We start from the raw sequence: 17773 nt of genomic DNA on the forward strand, positions 1-17773 counted from the left end.
GAGCACAGATGTCCAACCATTTGGCTTCCCTGGGCCCCATTGGAAGAAGAAGAATTGTCTTGGGCCACACATAAAATACACTAACACTAAAGATAGCTGATGAGCTAGAAAAAAGGTCCATCCATAATTTTTGTGATATCTGCCACCACAGACAAAAGAGTCCCTGCATTCAAACGGTTGGACACCCATGGTCTAAAGTTTATTTTGCACTTTATATAAGCACATCTCAATTCAGACTAGCCACATTTCATGTGCATAATAACCACATATGGCTGGTGGCTAGTGGCTGCCATATGGGATGGTGAAGATCTAGTCTGTCACCAAGTCCTTTAAGTTTCCTCCTGAATATCTCTTCTTTCTTCTTGTGTCCCAGCTGTCACCATCCTGATATAGACTACTGGTAACTTTTTGCTCTCCTCTCATCAGTTAACACTACAGTCAATATGATCTCCAACAAACTCTCTACCACTTTTATCCCATCATCATTTACTCTTCCTTAAAATCTTATTTCCTTGGGTAAGCCTTTCCTGACTCTCCTCCTCTAGGTTAATTCTTGCTGTTACAAACTTTTATAGCACCATGTTCACCTTCTGTTATAGCACCTAGTTTACTTTCTTTTGTGTGAGTCTATAGCATTGTGAGATCCAAGAGAGCCAAAACCATGTTTTCTTTCATTATTATATCCCTAGCAACTAACAGTGTGCCAGGCATATAGTAATTATTAACAAACATCTGTTAAATTGACTAAATTAACTTTTTAACTGTTTGCTTTCTCTGAAAATCCAGTAGTCCCCAGCAGAACAGTGTTTTGTTCAGCCCTTGGAAAGCACTGCTCTGGAATATTGCCTCTCCAGTTTGTATTATGTATCAGTATGTAGGGTCCTCTCCATTATTCAGAAACATTTAATGAATCCTCATTGAAATTTAATCCTCATTAACTGAATAAATTTTAAGATTATAATCTGGCACCTGAGACCCTATATAATCTGGCCTTGATACTATCTTATCAAATTGTCCTATGAAACTAGCCAAGTTGTATTCTTTTTGTTTTCTCCCTGGCTGAGTCCAAATTATATTCTTCTAGTCCTCAAATGAGCATTACCTTAGGAACCATTATTCCATTCATTATGTAGCTTTATTATGTCCTTGAAAAAGATCTAGGCTAGAAGATCTAGGCTAGTGCTATCCAGTAGAACTTTCTGTGGTATATTTGTTCTTGTATATTCAGTTCTCTGTATATCTGCTAGCCACATGTGGCTGTTGAGCACCTGAGATGTGACTAGTCCTGAGAAACTGAATATTCTAGTTAATTGAAATTGTACTAGCACCACATGGCTTGTGGCTACCATATTAGATAGTGCAGATCAAGGCAGTGGATACCTGTTACCTTGCCTTCATAGAGTTCACGTTCTGGCTTCTGGTACTGAGATACAGTCACTAAATGAATTGTATCAGATGGTAATACATACTATGGAGAAAAATAAAATTGGGTTAACAGTGTGAGGTATGTGTTGGGGAGGAGCAGGAATGTTTTTTATATAGGATGGTGAGGATAGGTGTTTCTGATAAGCTGACATTTGAGCAGAGACCTGAAAGGAGTGAGAGCACCAGCCACATGGATGTATTTTCTGAACACTTCAGAAAGAGAGAACAGCATTTACAAAGGCCCTGAGGCAAAAGGGTGCTTGGCATATTCTAGAAATAGCAAGGAGACCAGTGTGCCTAGATTGAATTTGCAGGGTAGAGCAGCCAAGGACTGGACCATGAAAGGCCTTATTGGCTGTTAGGGGGACCCAAGCTTTTACTTTGTGAGATAGGGCACCATTGGAGGATTATTTCATCATCAGAGAACAGCAGAGTTTCATGATCTTAGTTTTTAAGTGGATCACTTTGGCTACTATATGGAGAACAGACTTACATACCTATATATCAGGAATGTCTATTTCTGCAAGACAAATAGATATTAAATGTTTTCCCTCAAGTCCTAATTCAAGAAGTCACCTCTCTTATCTAGAAGTAATTATTCTCTTCTTTGCTAGTATTATTCATAATTCTATATATTCTATTGATTTTTTTTCAATAGACTATACATTCTCCCAGACAGGTATTGTGACTTGTATACATGGAGTGCCTATAAATGTTTGTTGATTGAATGTAGTTTTCTGTAGTTATAACTGAAATCACAGAAACATTTTCTTGAATCATAACATTAAATGGTATTTTGATGAAGATGTTATTCTGTGCTTGCTCTGTGTTATTATTCCATGCTATTACATTTAAATGTGGTAATTAAAATACAAGAATTTACATAATGTTTACTATGTGCCAATTATTGTTCAAAGCATTTACCTATATCCATTCTCTTAATTCTCACATAACCATATGAGCAGATATTATCACAATCTTCCAGACAAGAAGCTGAAGCACCCAGTGGTTATGTAATTTCCACAAGGTTAAGTGGCAAAGCCAGGATTTAGCCTTTTTAACTGTTTACCTTCCCTGAAAATCCATTGGTCAACACGGTTGAGTTTTCTTTTAATGGGTCATAGATCAGTGTAATTTGAAAAACAATTTTGGAGATCAACATTGTATTGCCAGCTATTAGGACTTTTTTAAAAAATTGTAACATTTATTCTGACCACCATTTTATTATATAGGGAAACTTTAAAATAAATTTTTGATTTGCATAACCTATTTTTAAAATAATATATGGTTATATTTCTCCTTTTAAATTCATTTTCTTATAAGGAGAAGCAAAATAATAGCACAATAATATAAAAGTACCATGGAACAAACTTTTTGTTTTTCTGGTTTAGGGCCTGTATATCATTGGGATCAAGAACTCGAGCCATTGGAAATGCAGCAAAGAGCCAGGTAAATTGTTAATGTGGATGTTTTGACTTACAGGAAGAATTAACTGAATATTGGTAACTAAGTTCCTTAAGTTATATTGTTAAGAGTGAATAAGAGAGTGAGGAAAATAGGACAGGTACTACATCTTTGTTTTGTTTTGTTTTGTTTTTTTAAGATATAATTTGCTTTGGGTTGTAAAATATTTCTTGAATTTTATTTTTTAAAAATATTTTTTAGTTGTGAAGTTAGGGTGTGCTACTATGTGACATCAATTTTTCCCCAAATGGTCCCTCAGGTGACCATCCAGAGAATAATGAGGGATATTCTGTCTAGAACATACATTTCAATGATAGTTAAGTAACATCTTTGTAAAATAAGGTAGGAAAAATGAAAGAACTAATTTCCAGAGTAACTCAACGTGGCTACCACTAATTTACATAGAATTTGTTGAAGTATTTATATTTTTAGGCTTTTGAAATCTTTATGATTAGAACGTTGACTTTTAACATTCCATGTTATAAACTGATTTTCCTTGGACTTTCATTACCTCCCTGAACTAAAAGCCCTTAACAATTATTTCTTGCATTTTATATATATCTGGGTCTTATATCTCATATTCTGGCTGACCTTCTAAGTGTGTCACAGATAATCAGAGTCTCTAAAAGCAGCCTTTAAAGTCATTTCTCCTAAGGAGTTAAAGAGAGCAACATAGTAATTCAGCATCCCTATAGTTTTCATGTCATAATTGAAGATCAAGGTCTGTTTGGCTTTAAAGGTCACTAGGATTATAGCAACTGGATCTCAGTAATATTCTGTAATTTGAACTGCATATTCTAGTTAAAGAAAAAATTGCTTTGCAAAAATGCAAGCCATTTACAAATTAAGATACTTTCATTTAGCACTATGCTACATGGAAGGGATTTTAATTTACTAGCCTAGGAGCAATCTGCAGCAATGGAAGCAACATGGTAGTACATGAAGATTTTCACAAAGAATTAGATATGGAGAGGAAAAAAAAACCTAGACAATAATAAACCAGTTTAAATTAAAACACAGAAATGGAAGTGGAAATAAATAATCAAAGATACAGGCTGCATATCCCTTATAAGAAATGCTTGGGACCAGAAGTATTCAGATTCTGTATTTTTTCAGATTTTGGAATATTTGCATGATACAGGTTGACCATCCCAAATCCTGAAATCCAAAATGCTCCAAAATCTGAAACTTTTTAAGTGACAACATGATGCACAATGGAAATGCTCATTGAAGTATTTAGATTTCAGATTTTTGGATTTGGGATGTTCAGCTCGTACTAATTCACTAGAGCAAAAGCTCGAGGAAAACCAAAAAGATGAGTTGTAGATATTTGTAATTTGAAACGTTTTAAAGGTTTATTCGTTCTCTTCTGAAGACATTAATTTTGAATCTAACATTCCCAGGATAGGTGGATAATTTGGGAGGCAAGTGTTAAAATGTGTACATTCTCATTGTATGACTTTACCATCAGTTGGAAACCAGAAAAAATGAATGATTATTTGTAATCCTAAACTTGGATGTGTAGGATAAAGGAACTTGGTGGTTGTCAAGTACTAGGATAGAATTTTATTTTGCATTTATTAGGTAACTGATAAATACAAGTGTTTACTGCCAACAGATAGTCACGAACGTAAGAAATACAATTCATGGCTTCAAAAAGCTTCATGGGCGATCATTTGATGATCCCATTGTGCAAACTGAAAGGATCAGGCTTCCCTATGAACTGCAGAAAATGCCTAATGGAAGTGCAGGAGTTAAGGTAAGCTTTATATTCCCAGGGTTACAAACATATCTTCAAATTAAGTAAACCCAATGTGATAATATTGCTATTTGTAGTTTGACCTTTTTCCTCTAGATACAGTACATACACACCGAAGAGATAGTAGTTTTTGTAATAATTTTAGTGAATGCCAGGAGATCTAATTTAGATAATTTTTTCATTCAAATCACACTATTATTGTCAAGGAAAAAAGTGGTTATTGAGACTCAAGAGAATAGTTTTTAGGGGATAAAAATGAAGGTATATAGGATTCAGAAGAATAGACCCAAAAAGTATGTTAATTCAGAAGAATGGACCCAAAAAGTATGTTAATAGCTGTAATGAGTTTAATGAGTTCTAATTTAGAAGAATCTTATACTATAAATGTTAAAGCATACTTTTCTTCCAAGTAAGAGATGGATTCTGAATTTTTAATTTTATATTCTGAGATAGTTGTAGATTAGTTAACCAAAACATGTTTGTGCTGATTTTTTTCAAAAACTAGCCTCATAACACATGGAACTACTTACTATATGGCCCCGAAATTCCACTCCTGGGCTTATACTCAAGGGAATTGAAACATACGTACACATAAAAACTTGTACATGAATGTTCATAAAAGCATTGTTCATAATAGCCAAAAAGTGGAAACGATACAAGTTTCTATCAACTGATGAGTAGATATACAAAATGTGGTATATCTTAACACATGGAATATTATTTGCCCATAAAAAGGAATGGAGTACTGGTATGTGCTACAACATGTATGAACTTTGAAAACATGCCAAGTGAAAGAAGCCAGATACAAAAGGCCACATACTGTATGATTCCTTTTATATAGAATGTTCAGAGTAGAACAAATTCATAGAAACAAAGTCAGATTAGTGGTTGCTAAGGGTTAAGGGGAAGGAAAAATAGAGAGTGACTGCTAATGGGTTTCTTTTTGGGTGATGAAAATGTTCTACAATTAGATAATGGTGATCAGTGCACAGCTTTGTGAATATACTGAATTGTACACTTCAGAAGGATAAACTTAATGCTGTGCAAATTATCTCTTAAGAAAGTTATTTTTAGTAACTAATTTTAGACTTGATATATGTGTTATGGATATGTACACAGTTCCATTTTTAGAAGAGGGTTCTGACTAAAAGGTGGATGATGAATCGTAGTAAGGAGACAGGAGGCTGTTAAAATAGTTGAGGAAGACACCATGAGAAGTTGAAGACAGGGAACAAATTGTAAATCCATATTTTAGGTGAAATTTTCAGGTTACTAAAGTGAGTAGCTGGATGGGTTATGATAGTAACAACTGAGATAAAAAATAATATTCAGATATCTTTTAGATATGATAAGCTCTAGTTAATGGTTACCTAGAGCAGTTTTATTCTACTCCAGTTTAAAATTTGAACTACTTAATTTTGTAAGTAGTTTAACTTCTTAAAGTGAAAATTAATAGATCAGGCTTTGAGAATAGGCTGAGAAAAACAGAATAATGTTTTTAAAGAAAGGCAGAACCAAAGTTTTGAGTGATATAATTTTATACATTCATAGTAAGTGCCTGTAAGCTAGTAGAAAAAGCTTTGAAACATCATCTTTTGAAGACTTAAGAAAATCAATGTTCAACTCCTCAAGCATGTTATACATTTGTTTTTTATACATTTATTTAAATTTATTTCATCTAACTTTAAAAAAAATTTTTTTTTTTTTTTTTGAGACGGAGTCTTGCTCTGTCTCCCAGGCTGGAGTGCAGTGGCGCAATCTCGGCTCACTGCAAGCTCTGCCTCCCGGGTTCCCACCATTCTCCAGCCTCAACCTCCCAAGTAGCTGGGATTACAGGCACCTGCCACCACGCCCAGCTAAGTTTTTGTATTTTTAGTAGAGACAGGGTTTCACCGTGTTAGCCAGGATGGTCTTGATCTCCTGACCTCATGATCTGCTCGCCTCGGCCTCCCAAGGTCCTGGGATTACATAGAATATTCTTATACAAAAGAATACTGTATGATCATGCCTCCAAAAGTCAGATTAAGACTATGATTCATTTTCTCTTATTTCTGTTTGCTTGATTTCTTTATGCACCCCTGGTTTAAAGGCAGTAATTTGGCATAATACTTGTTTTTGAATTTACTTGTAAATAGGTTTGGAAACAAATGCTTATCAATTTTAGGTCTGATTCAGAGTAAATCTTATGTCATTAGATATATATATTTATACATACTCATATACATAAACACATTGTGCTGCTTGAAAGAATGATGTTCTCATTTCCTTTTCCAAAACTGTATGACTGAAGCTTTTATTTTAAACCCAGGGAGAGTTCTGACTTTCAAAAGAAAGATTATTTGATCTTTTCCTTTTTCATTGTTTGCTGTGTCACATTTGGAAAATGAATTATAAAAATTGTTTTTGTGGGAAGTGGGGATCTGAGAGGGTAGAAACTACACTTTTGAAAATACTTTGGTTATAATACTGTCTGTAAGGTACTACAGCCTCAGAAATGACATAGTCACTGTTTTTAATGGGATCATGATTCTAAAATGACAATCTTTCTGGAATAAAACTTCCTTGAGCAAGGGTGTCTTTTTCCCATTGTATGTCTATCACATATACAGTAGGTGCTCACTGAATATTTGTTGGATAAACAAATGACTCTTAATAAATATCCCAACTTTTGGTGTTAGGTGCGGTACTTAGAGGAAGAGAGACCTTTTGCAATTGAGCAAGTTACTGGAATGCTGTTAGCCAAGCTTAAAGAGACTTCAGAAAATGCTTTGAAGAAACCAGTGGCTGACTGTGTGATTTCAGTAAGTTTTACTTCAGTAATGAATACCCTTGAATTATATTTTACAGTGTATTAATGTAATATTGAAAGATTTTTCTTCCCTTACACTTTCTGCCCTTATCCAGTAAATAACCTAAATCCATCTGACTTTCTTTTTAAAAAAACTGCCTTATTTGCTAAAGTTTAGGATTGAATTTCCCATAAAATCAATTATGATGAGCAGTGACTCTTAAAAAACTGTTATGTAACTAGTGACTGCTGCTATCTGGGATTTATCCCTAAGAATCTTCTCAGATAGCAATTAACTTCCCACCTGTGAGGACCTTAACATTTTATAGCAAAGGTTGAAAATTTCTAGTTGGGAATTTGAGGTTGTGTATCAGGGGAAAAAAAAGATCTTTAAGGATTCTTAACATTTAAATTATTTACCGTCTTATCTCTTGAGGTCCCATTAAACATTGTTAACTGGTTCTTTACCTACATGTTAACTAAATTGATATATTCCTACTATTCAACTTGACTACAAAAGTTCAAGAGTCTTATGTCATCAGAAAAACAGAATCAGATGATGAACTTTTCAGTGAGTTTAGTAATCAATTTTTTTTCATAGGCATTTGGAATTTTTTTAATGGGAGAAAAATATTAGAGCTTAATATTTTATTTTCTAGCCATTTAGTAATAGCAAATAATAGAGTTTACCATTGACCAGGTACTATTTATAGGCATTTTAACCCATTTAATCTCAGAAGCAATCTATAAGGTAGGGATATTATTAACCCTAGTTTTACAGATTCAAAAAGTAGGATACTGAGATGTCAAATAACTTGCCCAAAATCAGCACAGCTAATATAGTGTTAGAGCCAGATAGTTAATTCCCAAGCCCATGCTCATAATTGTTATACTGCCACTTGAAAGGATATGTTAGAATCATACAAATTTTAAAGATTCGTCTTAAATTCAAATCCATTTCTATTTAATTATATTTTTCCTTGTGTGTCAGAAATTCATGTCAGAACAGAGTAATACAAACTTTTGACCATTATTAACTTTGTGGTTGGTGCAGTAGACCCATTGTAAGCTCTACAGGGACAAGTATTTTGTCTGGTTTGTGCACTGTTTTCCTGGTAGCTAGAAAAGTACCTGGTTTGTAAGTGCTCAATGAATATTAAATGAACCATGCATGATAACTTAGATTTTTGTCAGGAGGATAATACCAAATCAGCAAAATTTATATTCTTTTCCTGTTGCTAATCTGTTCAATGAAATTTCTAAATTCATAAAACAATAAAATTAAAGGAAGCTACTTATTTGAAACTTAAAACTGGAAGAGCCCAAGTTGTTTTATATGTAAATACACTTAATAGCTTTTTAGAAATGGGTCTATATGTCAAAATACTTCTCAGTTTGATAAAACTAGGGTGTATACATACGTACATCTTTATACATTTTAAGACTGAGTTTAATTTTTAAATAGAGATGTAGTTAATGGGCTGGGCATGGCGGCTTATGTCTGTAACCCTAGTACTTTGGGAGACCAAAGCAGGAGGATTGCTTGAGGCCAGTAGTTAACAGACCAGCCTGGGCAACCATAGTGAGACCCGTCTCTACAGTTTTGTTTTGTTTTTTTTTAACTAGCCAGGCATGGTGGCACACACCTGTAGTCTCAGCTACTCAGGGGGCTGAAGCAAAAGGATTGCTTGAGCCCAGGAGTTTAAAGCTGCAGTGAGCTATGATTGTACCACTGCACTTCAGCCTGTGAGGCAGAGCTAGACACAGTCTCTTTCAGAAAAAAAAATTTTGTATACATATATATGTATGTGTGTATGTATGTATGTATATTTTTTCAATGTTATTTGGTGATTGTTAAAGGAAATTCCTATTTATCACAAGTTCCCTACAATATAGTTCCCCTCCTTTGAAATATAATTGTTTTAAACAGTTGGGACTGTATTCTTCTGGTTGGGTGTATATACGCACGATAATGAAGTAATGTTATATGTGCCCTTTTTTAACATAATAAAGATAGAATTCCATAACAATTCAGATCTACCTGATTCTTTGTAACAGCTACATAGGATTCCATTATATGGATATACCATAATATATTTCTCTAATCTCATTTTCAGACTCTTGAGTTTTCAGTTTTTTATTATGAAAGATGAGCAAATATATTTTTAATAGATCAGAATAACACAGGAAGTATTTAGACGAATAAAACTTAGGCAACTCTGCCATATTACCTTACTTTAAATTAGTATTCATACTTTAGGTCAGATTTTTATGGTATAGAAATTGTCAAACTTAAAAAATAAAACACTAGTATTTTTCCTCTTTAGTTAGAACATCTTTATTTGCCTTAAACTGTACATAAGTTTTAGGGTAATTATATTTTTCAGTTGACAAAATGTTTACATAAAACATTATACTTAACTGTTGTTTTTAAATACTAGATTCCTAGCTTTTTTACTGATGCCGAGAGAAGATCTGTGATGGCTGCAGCCCAGGTTGCAGGCTTAAATTGTTTAAGGTTGATGAATGAAACTACTGCAGGTGAGCACTTTGCAATTTGAAAATCACTATAAGCAAAATACTGTTCTAGTTTTTTTCTAATTATTAACAAAGCATTATTTTTTTTTAACTCCAAGGCAAGAGGATTGCTTGAGCCTGGGAGTTGAAAGCTGCAGTGAGCTATGATCATACCACTGCACTTCAGCCTGTGAGGCAGAGCTAGACACAGTCTCTTTAAAAAAATTTGATATATATAAAAATACGTGTGTGTGTGTGTGTGTGTGTGTGTGTGTGTGTGTGTGTGTGTATGTACTGATTCTTATAAGCTTGTTACTTTGTAGTACAACTTTTTGGCAGAGGTTAAATATGTCTTAATGGCTTTACAAATCTTTACTATTACAGAGTTATAGATGAGTAAGGAAAAAATAAAGTTAAAGCATTATTAACCGAATTGTGAAAAGTTCATTTACTTTGAAGATAATAATATGTATTACTATACTGCATATTAAAGTACAGTATCAAAGTGACATTTCTTGTTTTCCAAGTAATTACTGTGCTAGAATTAACATAATTCTTTGTTCTTATACAGTTGCACTGGCGTATGGAATTTATAAACAGGATCTTCCCCCATTAGATGAGAAACCAAGAAATGTAGTATTTATTGATATGGGACATTCTGCCTATCAGGTCTTGGTTTGTGCTTTTAACAAAGGAAAACTTAAAGTAAGTAAACACATGGTTTGTTATATTTACATATGTTAAGAACACAGACTAAAGAACCGTAATAGCTGGGTTCGAATCCTGGCTCTGCCCCTTAAACTATGACCTCAAGCAAGTTACTTAATCTCCCTAAATCTTCAGTTTGTTTATCTGAGAACAACAGTAGTAACTACCTCATATAATTTTTCAGGACAAAATGAGTTAATGTGTACAAAATTCTTGGAAAGCCTGGCATAGGGTAGCTGCTATAATATATATTAGCTATTTTTATTGTTGTTTCTATTGTTAGGTTGTTAAGTCATCTATCAGGAAGCATAAATTATTTATCCATAAATGTAATTACAGGAAGCATTTTCTAAAATGATTCCCATTGATTTTAGAAACCTTTCTATCCAAGCGTTCTAATCGTAATTTTACTTCTGTGTGCTTCTTACAAATTAGGTTTATAATCATTTTTACATTGATTCTTTTGTCCAGACTTATGATCTCTCTCCAGTATGCACAGAGTAGAGTTTACTTAGGAGATAAACTGCAACACTGCAAGAGTATTCTGTCTTAATTTATATTACTATAATAGCATCTTTGTAATCAAAAAATTAAAGGGAAATGACTCAGACTGAATATAGGGTAATTTTCAGTATAGATTGACTTAATCCTTGGCCTTTAGTCTTACATATTAACTTACTTTAAAAAGAACGTTTTTTTCCTTCCTTTTTAGTAGGTAACTTTGTAGTGAAATACGATTTTTAGATCACAGACCCGTTTGAAAATCTGATCAAGGCTATAGCCCTTCTTCCAAAATACACACCTGTACTAGTTATATACCAAGATAATTTTGCATTTGATTTTGGGTAATACTAGACTTCATGAGAGGTCTATACATGGATTCTCCATGCTAGTCTGTGGGGCGACATTCCACGCAGATTGTACTCATATCCTCCTGTGATATTTACCACCATACTACCACCCCACCACCCACCTTATAATGAAAGAGCTGCAAAACCACCCCAACAGTAGGATTCTTTATTAGTGACTGTTGTAAGTAGTCATTTAACCCTAGGGAGAGAGCCTAGATGTTTGGTCCTATGTTTTCAAGAACTGTAGTGTTGAATTTCTATGACTCTCTTCTGCTGGGAAGCCTGTTGCTCAACCAGCTTGTTACATTGTTACCTGGTTTTTTTGTTGGTTGGTTTTTTGGTTGTGTTTTTTGTTTTTTTGTGTGTTTTGTTTTTGTTTCTGTTTTTTTGTAATAGTCAAAAGGCCTAATTTCTGATCCGTAAATTGACCAATTATGGTATTTTATATTTAATCTTTGAATCTGCTTTTCTTGGATGTTTTGCTCATGTTTATATGCTTAGGACTGTTTCTTTGCTCTCTTAAACTTGGTTTTGGTCTATCTGTTCAGTGCTGTTGTAGAACCAAGTGACTGAGATAATGAGGCTTTAGTTGTAATTCAGTTATTTCTGAATTAGAATTCTTTTAATTATGATATATGGATCTGTAACTATAAAGTAGAAAATTCAGAATAAGGAAATATGTTGACTAAATATAAGTGATAATTTAACTCTGATTCCAAATTCAGCACCCCTGTGATTGGACAAGTTTTTTTAGCGTCATTTTTATTTTTACATTTTTTTATTTTAGAGGTTTTTCTTTTTTTTTTGGAAGAATCTATATTTCTGAAAATACAGTTCTGCTTTTTCAATTAAACAGGTCTTGGCTACTACCTTTGATCCATATTTGGGTGGCAGGAACTTTGATGAGGCTTTAGTAGACTACTTCTGTGATGAGTTCAAGACCAAATATAAGATAAATGTGAAAGAAAACTCTCGGGCCTTGTTGCGTTTATATCAGGAATGTGAAAAACTAAAGAAGCTAATGAGTGCAAATGCATCAGATCTTCCATTGAACATTGAGTGTTTCATGAATGACCTTGATGTTTCTAGTAAAATGAACAGGTACCACGTATGTTTTTAGTTTGAAAAGTGTTTACTTATTTTATAATGTTTAGATCACGTCTGATTTGTTTGTTGTTTTAGAAGATACGCTCAACTTTTAATCCCAGAATAATGAATTTTATTCTATTTTCTCACAGGGCTCAATTTGAACAACTGTGTGCTTCCCTTTTGGCCAGGGTTGAACCACCTTTAAAAGCAGTAATGGAACAAGCTAGTAAGTGGAAATTACTGGACTATCAAAACTGTACCATAATGTTGCCTACTTAGCGGGGGTAGATAATGATAAAATAAATTTTTAAAACTTTGTTTTTTAAAAAGATTTATATTTCTCATTTTAGGGAAGGAGATTATAACTCATTATTCATAAGAGTAAGGCAGTATAATTCTGGGTTTATGAGAATTCTTCCTGGATCTTCTTATTGTTTATATCATAAATCTCATGCTAGTTCTGGCCAAGCACGGTGGATCATGCCTGTAATCCCAGCACTTTGGGAGGCCGAGGTGGGTGGATCACCTGAGGTCAGGAGTTCAAGACCAGCCTGGACAACATGGTGAAACCCCATCTCTATTAAAATTCCAAAAATTAGCCAGGCATGATGGTGCGCACCTGTAACCCCAGCTATTCAGGAGGCTGAGGCCGGAGAATCACTTGAACCTGGGAGGCGGATGTTGCAGTGAGCTGAGATTACGCCATTGCACTCCAGCCTGGGCAACAGAGTGAGACTCTGTCTCAAAACACACACACACACACACACACACACACACACACACACACTCATGCTAGTTCTATTTGGAAGTGTTTATAAACTATAGATGATTCTAAAATGAAATTAATGTAGAAATGGGGACATAATTGCTTTTTCGTAAGGATTTTGGTAATCAATTAAAAATATCTTCTATAGGGATTTAGGAGGTAGAAATAAGAAAATTGAAGGACTCTGAAGAGCTCCTTTAAAACCCATGAAGTGCTTTTCTCTTTCTATTGCCACTCCATCATCTGGACCAAGTTGGACCAAGTGCATTGCCTGTCACATAAATAATATTTATTAAATGTTATATCTTTCTAAAAATTGTATTTTTCTTCCCTTTTATTTTCTGACAAGTAAAAAGTCAATCCACTTTTTAAAAAAGTACTCGACAAAGCCTTCTGTTGAGATTTTTAAAGACTATCATTTTTCTCAATTAAAAAAATTTTCCAGACTTACAACGTGAAGACATTAGTAGTATAGAAATTGTAGGAGGAGCAACACGAATTCCTGCAGTGAAAGAACAAATCACTAAATTCTTTCTTAAAGACATAAGTACCACATTAAATGCTGATGAAGCTGTTGCAAGAGGATGTGCGTTACAGGTATAATTGTTATTTTATTTTTTAGAATATGTATTTTGCCAGAAATGAGTGATAGATCCAAAGGGGCCTTTTAATGTTATCTGTTCCATCCACTTATCAATAAGCTAAAGTAAATTGAAGTTATTTCTGATAAATAAGTCTTATGTCTTTCCCATTTATGTTTTTAAGCTATAATAGGACAGTGTGTCTGTAAGGACACTGAAAGAATATTAATTTTACAAATTATTGCAGTCTGCCCATTTAAAATCCCTTTTGGAGATGTAAAGATATTCTGTTAATTTTTATAAGGTCACATAAAGAGTACTCAGGCCCTTTTAAATTTTCACTTCTCATTGCCAAAAACCAGTAACTTTTAAAATGTAACAGTTGTAATAGGAGGACTCTATTAAGCAGTTCAATCAGAGTAACCTAGGGTATGTTTTGTATTTGTTGATTTAAATATGGTATACATCTTATTTTCAGTGTGCGATTCTCTCACCAGCATTTAAAGTGCGTGAATTTTCCATAACAGACCTTGTTCCCTATTCAATCACATTAAGGTGGAAGACCTCTTTTGAAGATGGAAGTGGGTAAGTTATTTTTAAAACCTTGATTAGAGCTTGTCATAAATCTTTACCCAGTTAAACCTACTTTTCTAAATTAGAGAAATTTACGCTTCTTAAAATTCTGCCAAATACTTTAAAATAATGTATTAAAGAGATATAAAAATGATATATCACCTATAAATCATAATTGGGCATATTTTTAAATTTATGTTTTTTATAAAAGTAAAACAAGGCTCATTTTCAAATAAATCACAGTATAGAAGTATAAAAAAGACCTGCATTTGTCATATTCTCTCTTAGCCCATTTTACAGACATAAACATTTTTAAAAGCTAGTTTATCTGTCCAGTCATTTTCTTTGACTATCCATAAATAAATAAAATCATACATTTCTTAGGTACATATAGAATTATCTATAAATCTCTAGTGCAACTTAGCTTTTTTAATTATATTGTATTTTATTTTTCCATGTCAACAGACAGTAACTGTTTTTTCAATAGTTATATGTGCCATAATAAATTTAACCAATACAGTATTAAGTCATATTTTTGCTATTTTAAACAGTGCTAGTAAGAACATCCTTGTGCACAAACCCTTGTTCAGTTGTGCTTGGTATATCTGTAAGACAGCAGTGTAGGAATGGAATTGTTTAGCCAAAGAATATGCACATTATTTTGAGTAATATTTGCAAATTATTCACTAAAAGGATACTGGTTTATATTCCTATTAACTTTCATGAGATTGCCTCTTTTAGCTCATTTTCTCCTGTACTTTTAATTGAACATGCCAATATTTTAAAAAAAGCACTGTTATTAAATTAATGTTTCCCTCTGTCATAAGCTACAATATTTTCATGCTTGCATTAACATTTACATTTTTTTCCATGAACTGCCCAGGATTTAGGTAGCCTGCTTCCCTACCAGAATCAAAATTTATATTTCAAATATTTTACTTGACTGCTTTTCAGAAGTATAGCTTGTACAATGAATAATGGTGTGTTTACATTTTGAAGTTATTTTTTAAATTTTGTTCTGTGTTCTGTACATAAGTACCCCCAAGAAAATGAGATTTTTGTATACATTTCAAAAATATGGATTTTCAGCCTTATCTGAATGTCTTGCAAAAGATTTTAATGGCATGTGTTAATGTCAGTTTTTTTCTTTTTAAATAATTTTTCACCTGTCTGCCCCAGATAATGTCAATTTTGAGGCAAGAATCATTATTCTATAAAATTTAATTTCAGTTTCAAGGTATAAGTGATCCAGAAAAAAATTGTAAGAAAACGTATGGGGAGCTAAATTGAAAAGTAAATATAGCCTAATGACTACAAAAAGAAAGTAGAAGGTATTGGTAGTTTCTTGAAAACTAGGATAGAGTAAGAAGTTTGTGGATTCAAGATTTTAAAATCTTCCATACTTATAGTAATAGGATGATATATAGTATTAAAGATTGGTTTCTGGGCCACTATAACAAATAGTCATAAACTGTTTCTGTTAAACAATTTAAGGAATAGGAATTGCTATGTAGGTTTTAAAAACTCCCTGTATTGGAGGGGTAAAATGCTGCAAAGGACATTGTTGTATCAACTGAAAAAAAGATGGAAATATGAATAGGTAAAGCATCAGAGAATATCCCTATTAGGATGCACACTGACGTTTTTAGGGGTAAAGCACCATAATGTATGTATAACCCTCGGTTGGTTCAGGAAAAATATATACAGAAAGTGTGTGCACTCAGATGATGAAACAAATGGAGTAAAGTAGCAAATCTAGGTAAAAGATATACAAGTGTTCCTTGTCCTATTTTTAATTTTGCACCTTTTCATAGGTTTAAAATTATTTGCAAACAAAAGTTTCTATTAAAGGTAGCCAGAATTAAAAGGGTAATAGGTGGCAAGTATTTTAGAAGTTAATGGGTAGGACTTGGCCCTCATATGTGAGGGAAAAAAACCATACACATTGGCCTTAAAATATACGTATTCTCAGGTAATTTTTCTCTTTTTAATAGTATACAGTTGTCTGTTATTATGATAGACATTATGAAAACTTTGAGCCATAAATCTGTTGCAATGCATGTTTAGAGCAAAATCAGTAATTGTTTTTTCTTTTTATTTGTGCAGAGATTTTTGCAGTTGCTGCTAATGAATTAAGAATGAAATGGATTCAGTAAATAGGTTCATAGGCAACTTTCTATTTGTTTCTAAGTGAGTTCTTTCCCTCCATTTTAGGGAATGTGAAGTTTTCTGTAAGAACCATCCTGCCCCATTCTCAAAAGTCATTACTTTCCACAAGAAGGAACCATTTGAACTAGAAGCATTTTATACTAATTTACATGAAGTGCCTTATCCTGATGCAAGAATTGGTAAGATAAAAAAAAGTTCTCCATAACATTTTGGCCTTTTATAAATAATGTGTTATTTTAGAATCAAGGAAACAAATAGACATTTCAGCTAAGCCAGTATGGGACTTTTAAAGAAAGATATTTATACTCTTTCTAGAAATGTGCATTTGTAGTGCTCAGTTTATTTCTATAATGACAGCAGGGTTTACTGCAGTCGGCCCTCAGTATTCATGAGTTTGGCATCTGTACATTCAGCCAATATTAGGAAAAACAAGTGTCTGTACTGAACATGCCTAGACTTTTTTTTTCTTGTCATTAATACATGTAACAACTACTGACATACCATTTATTTTGTAGTAGGTATCATAATTAACCTAGAGATGATATAGACTTAAGAGTATTTGGGAGGTTGTATGTAGGTTATACACAAAATACTATGTCATTTTTTTTAATAAGGGACTTGACTACCAGAGGATTGCTTGAGCCCAGGAGTTGAAGACTAGCCTGGGCAGTATAGTGAGACCCCATTTCACTCACATGCAAAATGATGTATAAAAGGTTCTTCCATCCTCAGAGAGACCTGGGACCAATACTCAATGGATACTGAGGGGACAGCTATATTTCTAATTCATTTTTACTTCTATATTTAAAATGCTGTGCAAAAATTAGCTGGGTGTGGTGGCACACACTTGTAATCTCAGCTACTCAGGAGGCTGAGGCAGGAGAATTGCTCGAACCCAGGAGGCAGAGGCTGCAGTGAACTGAGATTATGCCACTGCACTCCAGCCTAGGCGACACAGTGAGACTCCCTCTATCAAAATAAAATGCTCTGTAACTGTCCTGAAAGGTTTGTGTGATAATTATTTTTTACTGAAAAACTTTAATTGGTATATTCTAATTTTAAACTTAATGTTTACTGGCAACA

General features: G+C 33.4%; 1 protein-coding gene across 5 annotated transcripts in view; it reads left to right on the forward strand.

The window, feature by feature from the left end:
- Positions 1-17773, forward strand: part of HSPA4L (heat shock protein family A (Hsp70) member 4 like) — a 58938-nt gene that overhangs the window by 9465 nt on the left and 31700 nt on the right. For 4 of the 5 annotated variants that reach the window (NM_001317381.2, NM_014278.4, XM_011531745.4 and 1 more), the window contains 10 exons: positions 2817-2874; positions 4508-4648; positions 7327-7449; positions 9878-9977; positions 10525-10658; positions 12369-12613; positions 12751-12827; positions 13813-13964; positions 14427-14533; positions 16736-16869. In NM_001317381.2, coding sequence (NP_001304310.1) covers positions 2817-2874; positions 4508-4648; positions 7327-7449; positions 9878-9977; positions 10525-10658; positions 12369-12613; positions 12751-12827; positions 13813-13964; positions 14427-14533; positions 16736-16869 — 1271 coding nt within the window. The remainder of the gene's footprint in view (positions 1-2816; positions 2875-4507; positions 4649-7326; positions 7450-9877; positions 9978-10524; positions 10659-12368; positions 12614-12750; positions 12828-13812; positions 13965-14426; positions 14534-16735; positions 16870-17773) is intronic. The other variant, NM_001317383.2, reaches the window with a different exon arrangement.

The sequence above is a fragment of the Homo sapiens genome, chromosome 4, assembly GCF_000001405.40.
Source record: "Homo sapiens chromosome 4, GRCh38.p14 Primary Assembly".
Classification (NCBI taxonomy): Eukaryota; Metazoa; Chordata; class Mammalia; order Primates; family Hominidae; genus Homo; species Homo sapiens.